Source organism: Homo sapiens, chromosome 1 (genome assembly GCF_000001405.40).
Source record: "Homo sapiens chromosome 1, GRCh38.p14 Primary Assembly".
NCBI classification, from domain to species: Eukaryota; Metazoa; Chordata; class Mammalia; order Primates; family Hominidae; genus Homo; species Homo sapiens.
In genome coordinates, this window is record NC_000001.11 from 207,015,009 (window position 1) to 207,034,030 (window position 19,022).

Consider the following 19,022-nt stretch of genomic DNA (forward strand, 5'->3'; position numbering starts at 1 on the left):
TAATTGACAGAGAGTTAGATAGAAATGTGTGGGGCTGTTATGAAGCTTACTTGAGATACTGAACATGAGAATTCTTGGTTCTAAGAGGGACTCAATAAATGTTTAGTTGAAGTGGACATGAAAAGAGGGGATCTTCAGTCTTGATAAGATCCTACTTGGGATGCCCAGTTCCTGGACAAGAGCTGTGGTCCCCATGCTGCTGGGCAGCCAAAGCCCAAACCTGTGCCTGCCTCCTTTCACTGTGCAGACAGTAGGCACCATGCCAGCAGCTCCATGCAGAGCTGCACTGGGTCTCCGTCCCTAGGTTGGAGGAATAAGAAGAGTCACGACCATCTGCACAGCACTGAAAAGATTTCCTGATGCGTCCATAAATATATATCTCATGTACGTCTTGAGCATTCAGCAAAGGCTTCTCAGAAAATCTGAAATTTAATCTGAGACTTAAAGGATGAGAAGGAACTAGCTATGTAAAGATGAGGAGCGGAGAACTCCAGCAGAAGGAACAGCCAAGGTAGAGTCTCAGAGCTGGGACCAGCTTGATGCTTTTAATAAGAGAACATGAAGACAGATCCTTCAGGAGCCCCTGCCTAAAGGACGGGGGCAGGAGAGTCACTCAAAGAGGAGATGACAAATATTTCCTCAGATCCAAGCAACTGAACAGAGCCAGGAACTAATCCAAAGGAGGCCTTCACAGAGTCCTGCCTACCCACTAAAGCAGAGTGTGGCAGGGTTGGTGTGAGCTGGAGGAGGTGTTGATGTTGCAAGTCAACTTGTGCTGTAGCCTCAGTCCTACTTTCAGGCATGAAGGCCCAGGAGGTAGAGAGCGCTGTACTCTCAACATGTCCAAACACAGACCCATGCAGGGGACCCCCAGATCTGAGCCTCTCGCCATGGTCTATGTCTCAGTGAGTGGTATTAGTATCCATCCAATCACGAAGGAATGAAACCAAAACATGACTCATGACCTCACCCTCTTCCTCACCCTCAGTAATAGGTCCACCAAATCATGTCAGTGATGAACATCTTCAAACCTTCTTTCTTTTCTTCTTTCTGCCACCACCACAGCTGCACAGTGCCACACTGCCTCCCTCCCAGACTACAGCAGTAGCTTTCTAACTGTTCCCTTCACACCCATCCCAGCCTGTCTCAGTCCCCTCCCAACCCAGCCACCAGAATGATCTTTCCATCTGTAGAGATGTACAGAGTTTGGCGCAGCAACTCTCTTCACGTAAGAGGAATTTTTTGAAAAGTCTCTGGGGGTTGACGCTTAGATCCTAAGAGCCCTCAAGTGTCGGGTGGAGGTGAGAAGGATTTGCTGGTTGTGCTATAAGTTGGAAAAGAAAAAGAAAGGGTGGAAGGGGAGGTGATGTGAGGCCATGTGGTTGTGATAGGTCCCCCAGCATCCCCCACACTGACCTTCAGTAAAAAACTCAGAAAATAACAAAATGCTTAACGAAACCTGATTTCCCATGGGAATCAGTGAAAGGCCTGGGCTTTGGGTCTAGACCAATAGTGAGCGGAGACAGAGACAGTGGCTTAGGGATGGCAGAGTGTGGATTGGGAAGGAGGCAGGTGTGGGGAGGCTCCGAAGCAGCACACACAGATGCAGATAGGACAGAACTGTAGGAGGCTCTTAAAACTGGAGGAGGGCTTTGACTGTTTCAGTTCTGAGGAATCTAGGTGCAGGCCAAGATTAACCAGTCCTGATGGGGGTCCCAGTTGGCATCTGAATTACACGTCTATATGATAATAATATGAATAGACACCATTTATTCAGCAGTGTGCTATGGTTTTTTTTATATGTAGTATCTCATTTGATTCTATTTTCATAAAAACTGCAAGGGGTAAGTATTATTATTGCCTTACTTTACGAGGTTCCATCCTGTTATAATCTAAGTTCGTTTTCTCTCCATTTTTAAGATAAACAATAACTGTAGGGCGGCATAAAGTTCCCTGAACCACACAACAAAGAAAGTTAAAAGATGCAAAAGGTAATCACCGAAAAGGAAACTGAAGTGCAGAGACCCTGGCAGCCTGGCTCCTGAGCCTATGCTCTTGGCCACTGTATGTTCTCAATCTCTCTTCCCTCCCCTCCTCTTCCCTCCTTTCTTATCTTCTTCCATCTATCCACTCATCCATCCATCCATCCATCAAGCCTCCATCCATCTATCCAACTATATTTCTGACCATATCTCTCTCTATATATACATAGTTGGAGGTAGATATAGATATAGATATAGATATAGATATAGATATAGATATAGCTATCTAAGTTGACATGCCAGAGGCCATGTCAGCTTAGAAGTCCCACAGCAACCTCAAACTCAGTATGCCCCAAACCGAACCTCCCGTCTTCCTGGTCCTACATGTATATATATATACATATATATATATGTGTGTGTGTTTATTTCTGACCATAGATATAGATAGGTAGATAGAAAGAAAGGAAGAAACATATGTATCTCCAACTATAGAGATAATTCCTCTTTAGGTGGGAGGTTGAATTACAGAACCTAAAAGTTTCCTTTCCGTTCTCAAGTTCTCTGAGGTTTAGTTTATTTTAGACTATATTTTGATTATTTTTGGCAGGTGTTTATCTTCCTAACTTGTTTGGATTTACCGAAACATACATTTCAGGGCTAGCATGGATCTAGGAGAAAGACCAAGTCCCTCATGTTGAGAGTGAGAAGAAGTGACCCACTAAATCTCACCTGGTCCAGGCCTCTGCCTGTTTCACATTATTTTGAATTCTGGATACGTGGCAAGTGGTGATAAGGACAACAATCCAACTAGGTAATGAGTAAGAGAGAGTGACAGCCTGGAATTAGAGTGTAATCTGTTTTTACCACATGTGTATGCTAACAGTCAGTGATGATTGTGACAGTGGTCATGACTCCAGCAATTCACAGGTCCCTACACCTGAAGAGATTTAGAGACCTCATCCAATGTACTTCTTGCCTCCTGATAACTAATGCCTGATTCATTCCAGAGATGAACAAATTTAAAAGAACGTGCTATTTAAAATAAAAAAAAGGAATTTTAAAACCTTTTCTAGCTTTTATTTCTTTCTGAGGAGTTCCCTCCTGTTATATGCTTATTTTTTTTACCTTCATTTTAAAAATAAATAACTGTAGAACAGCATATAGTTCTCTGAACCACACAGCAAAAGAAAGTAAAAGGAAGCAAAAAGAAGCTTGCTCTATGGTCATGGGCAGTAAGAGACTGATGATACAGGAGAAGTTGGATTTGAGGATATGAAAGCTGGAAACAGCTGGTTCAGGCTGCACCGGAACACACACATTACACCCATGCCAATTGCTGTCTTTTCAAACTCCAGGAAGCCTGGCATGGGTGAAGCTGAGTCACGTGGAGGCTGTGCCGAAGCCTGGTTGTGCCGTAAGTTTTGTGTGCAGCAGGCTCTATCTTTCTCTCAGAAGTGAGTTGGGTGAGCCCTTGGTATCCAACCCTCCCTACAGTCACCTCCTTTGAGAAGAAAAAAATAAGACCCAGAAGGTAGTATTATCATTTATTGAGTAGCTACACTGTGGCCAGAACTAAGCTTTACATGTTTTATATCACTTATTTATCTCAACAATCTTGAAAGGGTGGTATTATTTTCCCCGTCTTATAGGTGAAGACTCTGAGGTTCAGAAAGTTAAAGTGATATCGCCAGGGTTCCTGACTGGTAAGTGATGGAGGCTGAATTTGAGCCAGATCTATATGCTCCATCATCACTCTCCTGGGGAAAAGAGCCTAGATGTGTTCTATCTGCATTCCTGCTTAGATTCTGCATGACTTCTCCTGTCCATCCCCTTGGCCCCCTCTCCTCTAGTCCATGAGATTACAGCTTTGCACACTGACAGGAGGGTCCTTCCTTCTTAGCCTACACATACAACCAGGTGTCAAAGGATGGAAGGGTTCATCTCACACACTCACAGACCATGTAGACTATTCAATCTACACCTCCAGCTCGAACTCAGAACATTGACAGGAACCTGCTCTTCAATCTTTCACCTCCCCTTTCTCCATGAAACGAACGTCAACATTCACACAGCAGCCCATCCCCAGCCTACAGGGCGGCCCCTGCCAGATCATGCTTCCCACTGTGGAAGAAGGCATGTACGAGTGAGTGGGCTCATCGGTTGACCTCTGTGTGAGATGGCACGTGGTCCTACCCTGCAGAGTCAGAGCACAGAATTCCAAGTGTAGCACAGGTGTGGCAATTCAGAAGAGCAGCTGTCAACACATCTGAGGGCACAGACCCCCCTATCATGCCAGGCTGGGAGAGGCCACTCCTGTATTTGGCAGGTGGCTTGTGCCCAGTGGCATCAAGGCTATGGCAGGGTATAGCAGAGATCTAAGGCCAAGTGGAAGTAGAGCTGTCGCTTTGATTTTGAAAATCAAATGAATGGCCTTTACAAACTTCCACCCACAATTCTTTGAAAAGGGATGAGTAACTCTGACCCTACTCTTACCTCCCTCCCCATCAATTCAAGCTGAATTAAGAGAAATCCTATGTGGATACACAGATACAATGACCTCAGCTCTGTCTAGCACCACTTTCAGGGAGGCGGATGTCCTCACTGGGCCCTCTTGCATCTCTTCAAAATGGGAATGACCAAGTTTGGATTTATTATTCTATTCTTGAATCCCAAAGACCATCCTAAGAGCAAAATATGCTCCTTGAAGGATGAGGATGTGGAGAAGCACGGTATCTTTAAAAAACAAGGGAAGGGAGTCTCAGATTAAGAAAACTGGAGAAATGGGCATGTCAGTAGGATGAGGATGCCTAGTGGCAGGTGCAGGATGTCTGTGACTTTGTCGTGTGTGGGAGAAATGACCTTTCTCAGGATGTGGGAATATAATAGGCTGTACTCCTGATGACCTTGACCATCCTAATCACACTTGTGTGATGCCAGGGCCCCAGGTTCCACCCAAGTTTTACTTTATAGCTATTCCCAAGTTTCCCTATTAATCAAGAAAATTAATGAATAAGGAATAAGGTGATCATTCTTCAGGTTATGGGTTGAAATAGACACAGAAATCAACTCAGCTGAATATAGCATGTGGAATCAGTCCTCCAGAAGGCAGCTTTCTCTCTTTCTGGGGGTGTATAATAAGACATAACTTGGCCGGTTGTGGGAGTCCTCATCAGCCGTGACAGACCAAGTCCTCACCCATGGCCAGGAATGAGGCACAGGCTTTTGGATGTGCGTGTATGAGCAAACGTACACAGAAACCGCCACACCCACACCTCACATACCATGACAGGGTGGAGTATTTGTTGTCCTTATGTTAACCTTGTCACCGTTTTCAGAAATTCTGGGCTTTGATGGTGCTGCGTCCATCAGGACACAGTCCAGAAATTCTCAGCAGCCTTAAAAGGCACCTTTCCAGCAACATTCCCTTCATCTGCCCCTCACATCTGGGCATCCTGGACTCCAAGCAGTTCACAACCATAAGTAAGATTTACTTCCTAAGGGGAAGCAGGAGTCATGTCTGGCCATGTCTCACCTCCAAGCTTGTATTTGCAAGCCCACACCACCCACCCATAATACCCTCTTTCGGCATTTGCTCAAGCTGCACAACTTGGTCACGGAATTTGAGGGGAGAGGTGTTCTGGTTAATGATGAGTTACCATATAGCTATCTTCCAAAGATAAAATTAAAAGCCACAGCAATAACTATTAGTTTGAACAATATTTAATCTCTGATGCTTCAGAAGGCACTTTGAGATCTTGAAGGGCCTTAGGGTTGAGTCTTTGATGGTGACTATGGCTCCTTAGGGTGCTGTGTGGATGTACAAGAGCACTGGCTAAGGAGAGGTGGCAGCATGCAACAAGGGTAAGAACCTCAGCTCTTTCCCTAAATGGCAGGCTGACCCGGGGTTAGTCACTTCCCTTCCCCAGCAGCACTGCGTCAGAGCTTCTCTGAGGCCCCTCTTACCTCTGATATTCTATTAAGACTGGCAGAGGATGTATTGTGTGGGTTTTCTATCACTGGAACTGAGAAAAATTTAAAACTACCTGCATCAGCACAGAGAAGATCTGAAACGGTTCTTGGGTGTTTATAAAGCCCGTGGGCTGGGCTCCCATCTTGATGTCAGCCCAGCCCTGGGGTCAGTGCAGACTGAGATACGGAGCAGGAAAGCAGGAAGAACGGGAGTAGCAGAGTCAGGGACGACAGCACAGTTGGTGATTGAATTTATCAAGCCTGTGGAGAAGGACTCTCCCTGGTGGAGGTAGTGGCATAAATATGTGGTCACTTATCCTGCCTTCTCAGACCAACAAGAGCTGTTCTGCTATCAATCAACCGAGAGATTGGGTTACAGGGACGTATCCTGTCTTTGGGACTGGTGATACTGAGAGGGCAGTGGGTGAAGAGATAACGAATCAGCTCCTCTTAGCCCAGGCCTTGTCCAGAAGGCTGGAACTGAGAGAGGGATCTGGCAAGGTATGAGCCAGTCTCCATCCACTGTAGGGATTCCAGGAGGCCCATATTTCATGTGACCCTGCATTTGCTGGATGTGACTTTTTTTCAAGTCATTGACACGTCCATTGTCTCATTTGACTTTTTGTCTCAGGCATGGCCAGCCCCTTCACTCAGCTCTCACTAGGCTGGACTCTACCCAATGTAAGAAAACATCTAACAAGAGCAAAATTCTGAACAGTGACTCATTGTGTTATATCAATAGCTTCAGTGATGTATCCAGCGGCCCCCCCTCCACACACACACCAAACACACACACACACACCCTCTTGTGGAGATCACCTTCAGAATGATCCACATGGGAACTCAATGGCACAACACTGAATATAAATGTATGCTTGGACTCAAATCTCTCCCTCCCATTCATCTTGAGCCCTGAGTTGCGTGGTGGCAAAGGCTCCCAAGTGGAGCATGTGTCTCTTCTTGTTCAGCCAGGACAGGGTCTGTACTGGTCGCAGAGTCTACTCCTTCAACAGTCCCAGCTTCTTCAGGGCCTCCCTTCTGTGTTCATTGGGGACACCCTTTGGGGAGATCTTGACACTGACACAGGGGGGGCGAGGAAGCTTGTCACGGCTCTGTCCTTGGTAGGACAGGCGCTTGGAGCTCTGCTCCTGCTCCAGGTCAGCCAGCTTGCCTACCTGGATACCTGCAAAATCTTTCCCCGTGCCCAGGGAGGCCGGGCGGGGCCGAGAATTACGTAAGACACTGGGCGAGATCTTGTCCAAGAAGGAGCCCTTTCCCAGAGAAGTGCTGGTTTTGGGGCTGGCATCTTTCTCAGTTGAAAGGTAGCTGCTCAGTCCCACGCCTGAGCGCTCCAGAGTGTTGGACTTGAAGTTCATCTGTCTCAGGCCAGGGGTGTTGCTCTCCTGGAGAGTCAGCCCTGACTCTGGCTTCGGTGGAGTCAGGGCACTGTTTGCCCTTGGGGCCTTAGGGATAGAAATTGGCATAGATTTGCTAGCTGCAACATTGCCTGGAGCTGGAGACTTCATTGGCAAAGGTCCCTGAGCTGGACCTGGAGCTGGAGCCGGAGCTTGAGCCAGAGCCTTCCCAGCAGCAGGAATAGCTGCTGAGGCCTGGGCTGGAGCTGCAGGCTGAGCCAGACCTGGAGCTGGGGACAGATGCTGGGCCCGTGTCTCCTTGGGTCTGATGGAGCTGGTGGGCTTACTTAAGTGGAGTCCAGGCTCATCTTGATCCTGGGGTAGCCCCAGCTTCTCTAGAGCTTCTTTACGTGCTTTTCTCTGCTCTTGCAGTGAACAGGAGATCAGGCCAGAATCTCCAGGGGCAGCCTCAGTGTGGCGGGACAGCCAGTGCTGGGGGTCACTGTGGAAACTGCTTCGGCTGCTCTTCAGAACAATATTAGGTGGCAGCTTCCGGGGCTTAGGGGTTGTGAGGGGAGCTAGTCGGCTGTTTGGGTCCTCCCCTGATGAGAGGGGAGCATCTTCAGCTCTTGCATTCTGAGGCAACCCTGCAGGAGGAGGCTGGGGTTGTGTGTACCTGGTTGAGACTGTTTCCTTGGCTTTTTGGGACATGGCTTCTGAAGGAGTCTGCTCTCTTTCCTGGGAGCTGGATGGTGTGTGGAGCTGGGGTGTGTGGCCCTGCTGTCCTGGCCCCTCGGGCAGGCTGGCTTCCCTACACTGCTCTGGCTGGGTGTCCCGGAAAGCTTCTGGCGGAGGGATGAGCACCACGTCCAAGTCAAGGGCAGCCTCCTGGGGGCTGGCAGGTGCCTGCCTGGGTTGGCTGCTCTGGCTGACCTGTTCTTTCTCAGGCTCTGGCGCAAGCCTCCCCGGTTCTCCAGGGTTGTGACTGCTAGCCTGGGTGGTGCTTTTCCTGAAGTTCTGGCTTCTGGCAATGTGGATATTCCTAGGGAGGCTGTAGGAGCCAGACCTGAGGCCTAGGCCCTGGGGCTCAGGAGGGTGGGATGAGCTGGACTCAGTTACTGTCCTTGGCGTTCGTCCTTGCTGAGTGATGGTCTCCTCTGGACCTCCTGTGAGGGTCAGAAAGAACATAAAAGAGTGGACAGAAAAAGAGTGGACAGAGGTGAGGGCCCTGCTGCAGAGGGGAAAGCAATGACTTCCTGAACTCTGATCCCAAACTAGCAATGAATGGGTTTTATTTTGCCTTGTTTTCTTTGCTTTTACAAGAGCAGCACTTTTGTCTGGATATCATTTAGACTAATAGATCAGTAATAGCAGATCCAGGGCCAGGCGCAGTGTCTCATGCCTGTAATCCCAGCACTTTGGGAGGCCAAAGCAAGTGGATCATTTGAGCCCAAGAGTTCGAGACCAACCAGGGCAACATAAGAGACCCCCATTTCTACAAATAATAATAGCATATCTTTTTTTGACTGAGAATTAATTTTTCATGATGGGCGGCAAGAGAGTGACCCCTGATTGCTCTAAGTTATTGACTTGACCTCTCCCCAGTTTTCTACAGAGGCACCAGGGTTGGAGATAAATTTGGGACAGTTCCTTCTAGCTATTTTGGGCCTCCCAGATAACTGAGCCCAATGCAAGCCTCTGAATAAGTGATTTGCTCTTGATTCAACCAGGCTTCTGCCTTCTACTTGCACTTTCTATGAGCATGTGGATAATTCTGTAATAGCCATAGTGTCCCCACACCAGAAAGTGACTCCTTTCCTTCCAGTGAGCTAGGCAGGTACATCAGGCCCCCTGGGCCAGTGAATCAGCCTCATGGAGCAGGAAAGCCCTACGTCCCCATTTATAGCTCTAGCTCCAGGGAAGGTCTAACTACTTGTTAATAAATATTTGCTAAATGAAACAACACAAAACTGCAGCCCCAATACCAGCGGGACTGTCCTCAGGAGTAAAAGGTTTCTCACACCCTGGGACATGTGGCCCCACAGTCATGGCCACACTTGTGTGTTGTTTTGTTCCCCTTCTGCTGAGCCTGAATACCACTGGCTTTCCACGCTCTCTAACGAGGGCCTTGAGGTACTTCCCACTGCAGCTGGGGAGCCCTTCCTTCTCCTTATCTCTCCTACCCTTGTCCTCTGTGTCACCCAGATTAGCTCTCTAGACTGACTCAGTCTCTCCAGAGCCAACCACCCAGCCCTCCCTGACTCCCTCCCCCGCCTCTGCGGTCATATCTCTTTAGAATTTTTCCACAGGAGAATGGGAGCTGGTCAAACCCCTTTCCCTTCTAGAGCTCTGATACTTCATAGACAGACATAGGAAGCTGGCTTGCCAGGGGTCCCTCCTTCCCTCCAGGGACAAGGCTCTGTTCTAGCCAGGAGAGTGGTGAGGAGTGTGGCTACACCTTCTTCTGCCTGTGACCCTTGGGGTAGAGGGCAGGCGAGGTAGAAAGTGGCCGGAGGGGACATATTGATTTTCTGGGTTTTGCTGGGGTTCCACCCCAGAGGGTCTGCCTTACCCCGGGGAGTGGGTTGGGTTATGGGCAGTGCTCGGAAACCTCTGGGAGTTGTGGCTGGCTCAGACTCGTCAGTGGACAGTCCGCTGTCAGCCTCCGTGTCCAGTGAGCCAATGGTCTCCTCCAGGAAGAGCAGACACTCCTTCTCTTCAGTGGACAGGAAGTCGTAGCTGCTATCACTCTGTTGGGTTTGGGGTTGGGGGCGGGGGCGGGGAGGCGGGGGGGAGGGCGAGAAGAAGAACAGGAGAGGGAGAGAGAGCTGTGAGAAAGCGCTCCCTCCGCAGAAACTGGCGGGGCCTGAGAACCACCCTGCAGAGAGGAAGGAATGCTGAAGAGCTGGAAACCTTTCCCTCCTGCTACTCTGCAAAGCTGCTGGAGTTGCCTCCTGAAACTGTAGGCACCAGGGAGGGCAGAGTCTGTCAGGAGGCTGGCCCACTAGCGCCCAGCTCTGGAGCTGGGCAGGCACATGGCAGGGGCCTTTCTTTTGCTCAGTCCTGGCTTGAATGCTTAGGGGCACAGATTAGAAGCAGTCCCAAGTTTCAATGTTTGACAGCCTTTGTCAAACATCTCACTTTGAGCACCTCTGATTTAGCTCCAAATAAGAAGTGCAACATAACAATTTGACCTGAAACTTCAGTGGTATTGCTTTTAACTTTTAAAAGTACTTCTGCATACTTGATCTGGTATGTCAAGGGCAGTATGAGGAAAAGCAGGAAATGAAGCCAGCTATGAGCTGCCAGGCCAGTAGGAACTGTGGCATGACTGGCCACAGATAAATGTACTAAATGATTTGTACTTGACTTTGAAATGCATTCCATACGGGAATTTTTCCCCTTGTACATTTACTTTCTTGATGACATTTGGCTCTGGCTAATGTTCAAGTAAGTGTGCATTTCTAAAGCAAATATTAACTTAAAGGGGGAGGTTGGTGGAGAAACTGGATGGTATGGGAGGAGGGAAAAGCAGCTTAGTATTAAATATTAAGTAGATCTTAAAGTAGATCATATTCATTATGAGAGAGTACATAGAGGTTTTTGGAAGAAAATAATAATGGTCATCTCAGACAGTTACTGTCTATGTTGTATGGGGCTAGAAGTTTGCTGGAATAGTTGCTCTTCCACAGAGGAGGTTGAAGGGAAAACAAAAGGGCAAATTGGAATATAAGAAATTTGGGCCAAGTCTCTTCTTGGCATCTCCAGCCCTTTTCCTAATATTTGGGACACTTCAGAGTTGTATATTCTTCAGGCCCACTCAGATGGCCAGGAAAGATTTTGAGACAGCTCTAAAAATATCCTGGAGGGAGGGGAGAGGGTTGCAGAATAACCCTTCCATTTGCCTCTGGAACTTCCTTTCGCATGTGGGCCTACATGTTAAAGCAAGCCCCAAATATAGCCCCTGGAAGCTCTGAAGCTGACGCCAAGAGTTTCTTGAAGAAAAATATCTTTATTGTCCTCTTCCTCCTAAAATAGCCTTGCCAAGGATAAGCTGACTCTGAGTTTCTCCTTCATGAATGATTCACTTTGAAAACCTTTAATCCCTGTCACATTCTGTGTCCAATGCTATGTGACTATTCACGTTGGCCTCAGCCTAAAAGACATAGAAAGACGTCTCCACAGCCCCATTATCTAGGGTCAAAATGAAATTTGTATGATTGTCTGCACTTTGGATTTGTGCATGTGTGTTTCTTTCTCTACTCTATTTTTACATATCAAAATCCACTGGTTGTCTTAAACATCTTGACATTCAGTAGACACCCTTAAATTTTCAAATACCTCTATAGGATACAATGCAAAAAAGCATAAATTCTCTATGATTCTTATGTATGTGACAAGCATGAACAACAAATGTTTGCGTCTGGATGCAGCACAGATTTACTCTTTCACACCAGCCTCACAACAACTGAGATTTAAATTCATGCCCAGAAAAATTACAGTTTATTAAATGCCACTCACAAGTAGCTAAACACAGTGACTTTGGAAGATTCTCAGTCTCTGCTCCTAGAAAGGCTGATTCTTTTCTATATAGAGGCATATGCTAGGTGCTTTACCTGTATCACATTTACTCCCCACAAATTGAATTGGGTATGAACACTAAGTATCCCATTTGAAAACTGAGGAGGCTAAAGCTTAGAGAAATTAAGTAATTTGCCCAAGGTCATACAGCTTATAAGTAGAGAACTTAAATCTGTTTGGTTCCAGAACCTAGGCTCCTAATTACCTATTTTCTTTGATCTTTGTAAGAGACTAAAGTAATGCTGCTCATTGCAGAGAACTTCAATAATCCATGTGCTACAAGAATCTATGTTCTGGTTTCCACCATGACCTCAGATTACAGGCCTACTCTCTCTGCTCAACCCAACCCCCAACCTAATGAAAATCGGCGGAAAAAGTCTCATTTGCCCAGTTGCTCTCTAAGGTCGTCCCATCCTATTCTCTATAGAGCCAGGGCTGACTCAGGCAGAAAGCACCCACTGGTGTTGTGAATCACTCCCCAACAATGAAAGAGAAGGTGCAGTGAGCCAGGATGGGTGGCAGGAAAGGATAGGGCAGGGCAGGGCAGGGCAGGTGTGCAGAGAGCAGACCAGGTTGCGGGAGGGAGAGTATTACGTACAGATCCAGAGCGGGTGGAGGTGCTGCTCATCATGCTGTCACAGCTGCCGACACGGGTCACGGGTTCTGAGCCAGTCCCCGCTGGCCACAGCTCCCTCTCGGGCATCACCCGAAACAAGGTGCAGGGATGGCAAAGGGGGCTTCTAGAGGGGAAGCGAGGGGAAGTGAACAATGTCCCAAGCCGGGCCTGAAAAGAGAAGAATCAAAGCCACACATGAGCCGAGGCTTCGGCAAGGCTCTGCCCAGGCCCTGGGCGGCATGGCGGGAAGGACACCAAGCAAGCAGAGAGCTGGAAGGGGGGCATGAACAGCCACTGCCCGACACCCCCGGCCTGCATGGAAGGACCCTGAAGCTGGCTTAAATACATGCAGAAGGACAGACTTAGTTGGTGGAGAGGCAGTCTAGTCAGAAAGAAGCTTCTACTACTTCTCTTACATTTTTCTCTGAACCAAGGAGCTTAATCTACATTTTCATTACTATAAGCAATAAATATTACAGGCGTCAATACCTTGGGTTCTGGAGTTAGTTGGGTCTGGGCTCAAATCCCAGTTTAGCCATTTACAGTTATGTGACTTGGGGCAAATTACTCTGAGTCTGTTTTTCCTCATTAAATAATGTTAGTATAAGGATTAAATGAGAGAACAGTTAGCACAGTTTAGTTGGTAGTAAATACCCTAAGACCTCATGAGTCAATAATTAACTATTATTGTTCTTGTAACAAGAAAAAGACAAGATCTATCTAGGATCAAACTAAATTGAAACAAGAGAAACAGGATCTCAGAAAAGAAGGGTTCTGGTTTGATGGGAGACTGTAGACTTGAGAGAAGAAACAGGTCCCTTAATAATACCTACCTCATGGGGTTATTGTGAGAACGTTTAAAACACTTTGCACAGAGCAAATTGTCACCTGCTATCACAGTCAATATCATCAACATCATCACAACCACCGCTACGATACCCATCTTTAACTCCCTAGCCTGGAGGCATGAACAGGGCACCTGCAGTGGTTGACACAAACCTATTTTCTTTCTAGTGAATCTCTTTCTTTCTAGTGCCTCTGTTGTTGCACACATTCCCAATGAGATTCCCTAGCCTATGTCAAATGAACAAGAGAAATGTCCCATGTAGCTTCCTCCCAACTCTAATTCCTTAGGGAAAAAAAGTTTCAATGTCATTGTAACAATAGTAGTAGCAAAGGAAGGCAGTGCCATCTTCCCTCTGAAAGTCCCAAGGATTTTGATGTGGCTGTTTGTGGGAAATACTCCACTGGAGATGGCAGGCCAGAAGTGAGTCTGCTATGTTAAAATGAAATTCTAAAAGAATTAAGATGAAAAGACAGTTCCAAGATCAAACAGAGAGTTGGAGGAGAGCCAGAATTAGAATAAAGTTTGTCTGATTCTAAATCCATATTTTCCTTATAATGCCATCCTATATTTTCTTTCATCTTTCCAACCCTCCCAACACTAGGTAAAATGTCCTAGAAGAAAACGTGATCTATTTGAGATCTGGAGGCTTGGGCTTTGGATGCCAGGGCAGATGTCCTCTTGGCCTCTGGTAATAATTGCTTCCAGTGCCAAAGTCAAGTTTGGGCTGGGTTGGGTGAGTCAGCTTTCCATCCCTATAGAGCTGGCAAGTATGGAGCCCCAAGGAGCTCCTCTTCTGCTTGGGAGGAGTCTCTTAAAAGGGGCAGGTATGGAGGGGCAGAACACTGGGGGGAAAACAGGAGAGATCCCTAGTGAGCCAGACATCTGGTTCATAGGGGTCCAGATCCTCCTAGGAGATAAGGAGGGGACTGGAGGGGCAGAGACACCAAAGAAGCCCAATGATAAATAAATGTGGGGTGAGGAAGCTCTTAGGGTTTCTTCATGAGGTTAGCTCCCCAATACCCAGAAGCTCAAAGAAACAGGAACATGAGAAATCATGTGGATGAAGTTCAGTCATCTCAGCTACCCACTCCATGAATGATGCCCAAGTTCAGGGAGGACTAACCCATTCCTAACATTGTGTAGGGTTGAGGCCACTATAGCAAAGGAGCTCCATCTCTGTGAGTCTAGGCACACAGAAAACACTCAAAAAATGCCGAATGAATGAACTTGCCATCTGTTCTAGGGTCTATTAGGTTGAGCTTTTGGAAGGCTTCTTCTTGGTTTCTAACCTATAACTGTCAGCTTTTACTTAAATACTTAATTTCCTGGATAATATATGGCTCAGTGAAATTTGGGCAATGTTTTCAGTTAAACTAACATTTATGAGCACCTAATAATAGGCGCTGGTGTTACAAAACTGTATAAGACAAAGGCATTGTTGTCAAAAAGTCAATGTAGATCTAAGGGTCTAGTTTTGGGCTCCAATTTTCTTCTCTGTAAAATCAGGGCAGTAAATATTTAAAGTGACTCACTGTAATTAACATCATATTCTCTATGAATGGGTGAGCAGATGCTGCCTCTTACTTTCAGAGAAAATTACTACCCTTGTGCTTCTAAGTATGCTTTAGACTTTACAGAGGTTTTCTAGTCTCTCTTTCCTACCAGGGAAGCTTATCACACTTTTGTTTCAGAACCTAGGATGTCTTCAAGTAGCTGGAAGAGATAAAAGTGGTAGGAAAAGCACTGCTTCACAAGAACACAGCATGCCATAGCTTGCAAAGTACTCTCAGATATGCTAATTCGATCTTCAGCATAAACTGGAAACATAGGCAGGATGTGACGTTTTCTTCATTTTACGGGTGAGAAAGTTATGGCTCTTACCACTAGCCCTTCCTAAGGGAAACAGGGAATGACCTATACATGCATATACAGGGCAGCCCTCCACAGGGCATTTCAGGGACTATCTGGATGCAAGAGGGGCATGCCCCCGAGAATGGTTACTAGCCACCCCTGACTAAAATACTAAAAGCCTTAAAACCCCCTTCTCCTTCTACTTCATACCTTAAACCCTGCAAATCATCTGCTTCAGCTTTATACTTCCAGACCAGTGTATTGCCCCAACAGCAGATATTTCTACAGTAAAGAAATGACACCAACTGCCAAGGAAGATCATGTCTTTAGGGATTACATAATCCCTGCACAGAGGAATCTGAACCTGAAACCAAAGCTGAGCGAGGCGCTGTCACCTCATCTCCATACCTAGTTTTCTGACCTAAAGAATCTTAATGGTGAAAGCTGCATTTCCTTTCACCGACTTCACAACCTTGAACCTTGGGGCTCTTTCAGGGCAGCCATCGAAACCCTGATAAGAAGACTGAGAAACAAACAAAACACTCAAGGTGAGAGTTTGGTATCTTAACCCTTGACCTCTTTGGGAACTTAACGGGAGGAGGGAATGGGTTAAGAAATATGCAGCACCTATAGTCAGGGCCACCCATCCAAAGACACATTAAATATTAACTACACCACTGACTAAAATACTAAATACTGCCAAGCCTTGGAGGAGAGGAAATAAAGAACAGTTCAAGTTCTGGCATCTGGAGATGGTGGGGTGGGGAGAGGGCTCCAGCTCCATTCCAGGTTGGCTTGTCTGTACCTTCTAATCAGACCCAGGTCCCTCTCATCCTCCTCCCACGAACCCCCCACATGTCCTCCAAGAGCTTTGCCTCTCTGCCTACTAGTCAAAGAGGTTTCCTGTCTTTCAATCCAGGTGTCTTTGCTTCTTGTTGACTACCCAGAAATGTGCCTTGGGCTGGAAAATATCCTAAGAAAAATAGCAGAATGACTAAAACTTGCACAGTTTGCATATCTGTCTCCATGAACACATGGGCAAGTTTCTGTGTGTGTTTAGGCAACATTATCATCTTCCCTTTCACCAGTGTGTTTGAGGGAAGGAGCAGGTAGAAATACCCTCTGCATAGCAGAGCTTTGTTAGACACTGCCAGTGGTCTTTATTCCTAAATTCACCATCTAGGGCAGCCCTCAGTCTGTGAGTGTGGGGTGTTGGCTCTGTGGTGTGAGGTGAGCTCAAGCCTAAATCTCCAGTTGCCAGGACTGGAAAACCCATATATTCACTCAGGGCTGCGTGTGCCAGGCCCTTGAGCCTGGCACTGAGGGCTTCCCACTTCCCTCTTCTCTGCAGCAGGAGGAAAAGAGTCAAAGTTAGGGACCAAAGGGTTAAACCCCCCAAGATGGATAATGGAGAGGCAACTTGCTACTCTGACTCGACTCCTACATCTGCCTTCCTTCTGCAGGTAAATCTGCCACACAAACTGCCAACTGGGACACCTGCAGGAAAACAAACAAAGCCACCACCCTGGTCTGCTTCTCTGTCTGTGGACTCTGCCACACTACCTTGGCTTGAGCCCCACTTGGAACTCTAACTAGACTTGACATGCAGCCACGAAATATTCATGTGGGTGAGGCTCGGCACAGCCAGGTAGCTTTCTGTTTGCCAGTCTCTGTGTCTATTAACAGGCTGAGTCAGAAAGTTAATTGAGTAGAATCCAAATAAACTTGACTTTGCAGCTAGATTATCCATGGGTTTTCCAAAGATGAGCTGGTAGCTGAAGTTTTCTCCATGTGCCCCAACCTCATATCCCTTTACAAACAACCTAGTACAGCTCATGCCTAACACACCTGTACACAGAGAGCTCCATTATCACATGAGCATGATCAAACACACACACACATTGCACCCATTATTTAAATAAAGATCGACACCGAGTTGGTAAAGCCACGGGAGAATTTCCTGTTACAGTCGCTATGGAAAACCAAGATACTCTCCCCCATTTTGACTCCCTCTATTTCAACTGTTCTTTTCTAAAATCACAACTCAATTTCAATTGTTCAGAGATGGAAATTTCCAAAACAAATCTATTTTCTTTTTCTTGTTGTTTGCACAATATGCCTATCCAACCTAAAGGGATAAATGAAAAAGAAGGTGCCTCCCAGCCCCAGTCTCCACAAAAACACTACAATCTCAAGTTGCTACCAACCTGATCTGATCCCAGAATGGACTCAGAGAATTGAGGAACAGAGAGGAAATCTCCCTAGCTGGGGTATAGAGGGACACCTCCCCTCCCCTGTAGCTCTGATTTCCCATGAAACCCCTTCCTATTGCTATAGGATAAGCAATAGTTGGTTAGTGATTAACTCACCTCCACTGGGTTGGGGGCTGAAGAGAGAAAAGAAATACCCTTTTGTTTCAAAGGGCAGAGATGGAGACAGAGGCTGCTTCCCCTGCCTCCTACTGTTTTCTTCTCCTTTTGAGCTCCTCCTGACTTACCTAGATAGGTAAATGCTTCATCTGTGCTGCCTGGCCCCCACCCTGCCACTGACTCAGCCAATCCTAGCCTCCCCTCCCTACCTCTCATTCCAGCTGTTTCCTCAGGGAGGGAATGGGAGGGGAATGAGCAGGGTGGTGCTGTTCCCTCTTAGCCAATCATCTCCTACCCTCCCCTTTCCTGTTTAGAGCTAATAAAGAGCTCTTTAAAAAAGGAGGGCTGGAAGGAGGAGGAGCCGGTTTGGGCTGAGACTGGAAGGACAGGTGGCAGGGAGGGAGTAGGCAGAGATAGTATATATATTTAATGTTGATATAAAGGAACGCAGACAGTCCTCTGGGCAGTGTGCTTTTCCATAGGTCTATGTGAAACAGGTTTTTCATCTAGAACTACCTTCTTCCGCTTGGAGCTTAGTTTTCCCCTGAATTCTCTAGGCTAAACTCATTTGTGTTCAGTTTTGCTGCTAGCTTTTCTAGATGTTGAAAGTCACTTTCTTCCCCAAGCCTAATCCTAGCTCATAAGCCTAGCAATTCCATTCATGTCCACTGAAGAAGGTGTCCCCAGGCTAGGGATGCTGTAGTTGGGCCAGTCTCGCCCCAGTGCTTGCCAACAATCTCCTTGGCCTAATTTATTTCTGGGGGAAATAAAACCATTCATCCCCTAAGAGGTCCGTGTCCTGATGAAAGAGTGACTGGACAGCTTGAAAGGAGAGAGCATGCACTCTGTCATTTGGTCCTCTGCTCTCTTTTGGCTGTTCATGGAAGGTGGCAATACATATTATGAAATAAAAACAAAACAAACTACCAACCAGTTTAGCAACTCTTGTCTCCTTTCATGGACTGATACTTGGCATTCGTAGGGAGAAGAGAGTAGGTAGAAGAATCTACTATTTTTGGGAAGAAATTTCCCACCAGGTACAGAGACCACTCTTAACAGATATGATTTTTGCCTGGAAGCTGGTTTTTCCTACAGGTAGATTATCCTTGATAGGTATCAGGATTTGAGGTATTCCACTTACTAGCATTAAAAGGTCAGGGAGAAAATTTAAAATCAATGTACACAATAATTGCCAAAATGTATTAAGCTCTTGCTATTTGCTAGGTATTGTGCTGAGCATTTTCATGTATCTTTTAATTTAGTCTTTAACTTAAAAAAGTAGGCATTTGTTAATATCTAAATTTTACAGGGAGGTTAAAAATCTTTTTCAAGGCCATGTAGCTAGGAAGAGGCAGGGCAGAGATTTTAATTCAGGCAGTATAACATCAAGGTTGCTATGAATCAGCATAATGCCAATCCGCCTCTATTTTGGAAGGAATCTCAAGTGGGAAT

General features: G+C 46.5%; 1 protein-coding gene across 5 annotated transcripts, besides 1 other annotated feature; it reads right to left on the reverse strand.

Annotated features, from left to right (window-relative positions):
* Positions 1–3,513: 3,513 nt before the first annotated feature.
* C1orf116 (chromosome 1 open reading frame 116) lies at positions 3,514–17,748 on the reverse strand. 5 transcript variants are annotated; one of them, XM_006711530.2, is made up of 4 exons: positions 17,699–17,748; positions 12,486–12,671; positions 9,879–10,056; positions 3,514–8,472 (listed from the first exon to the last, which is right to left on the reverse strand). In XM_006711530.2, the coding sequence occupies exons 2-4, from the start codon at positions 12,588–12,590 to the stop codon at positions 6,950–6,952; spliced, it is 1,806 nt and encodes a 601-aa protein (XP_006711593.1). In that variant the 5' UTR covers positions 12,591–12,671; positions 17,699–17,748; the 3' UTR covers positions 3,514–6,949. The 5 variants fall into 5 exon arrangements, with proteins under 5 accessions (XP_006711593.1, NP_076427.2, XP_011508275.1 ...); NM_023938.6 differs by having other exon boundaries at positions 17,571–17,748; XM_011509973.3 differs by lacking the exon at positions 12,486–12,671.
* Positions 4,539–5,738: an enhancer, noted in NCBI's record as "BRD4-independent group 4 enhancer chr1:207192892-207194091 (GRCh37/hg19 assembly coordinates)". NCBI's record gives its function as "activates an origin of replication core promoter dependent on BRD2, P300/CBP, MED14 and CDK7 cofactors, and independent of BRD4, by STARR-seq in HCT116 cells {active_cell/tissue: HCT116}" and the evidence as "EXISTENCE:reporter gene assay evidence [ECO:0000049][PMID:35650434]".
* Positions 17,749–19,022: the final 1,274 nt, after the last annotated feature.

Coding starts and splice junctions, on each gene's coding strand:
- C1orf116 (XM_006711530.2), bottom strand. CDS start 12,590: ATGCCCGAGAGGGAGCTGTGGCCAGCGGGGACTGGCTCAGAACCCGTG. Junction 10,057..12,485: donor CCTCCACCCGCTCTGGATCT/GTACGTAATACT, acceptor CAAACCCAACAG/AGTGATAGCAGCTACGACTT. Junction 8,473..9,878: donor AACCCAACCCACTCCCCGGG/GTAAGGCAGACC, acceptor TGACCCTCACAG/GAGGTCCAGAGGAGACCATC.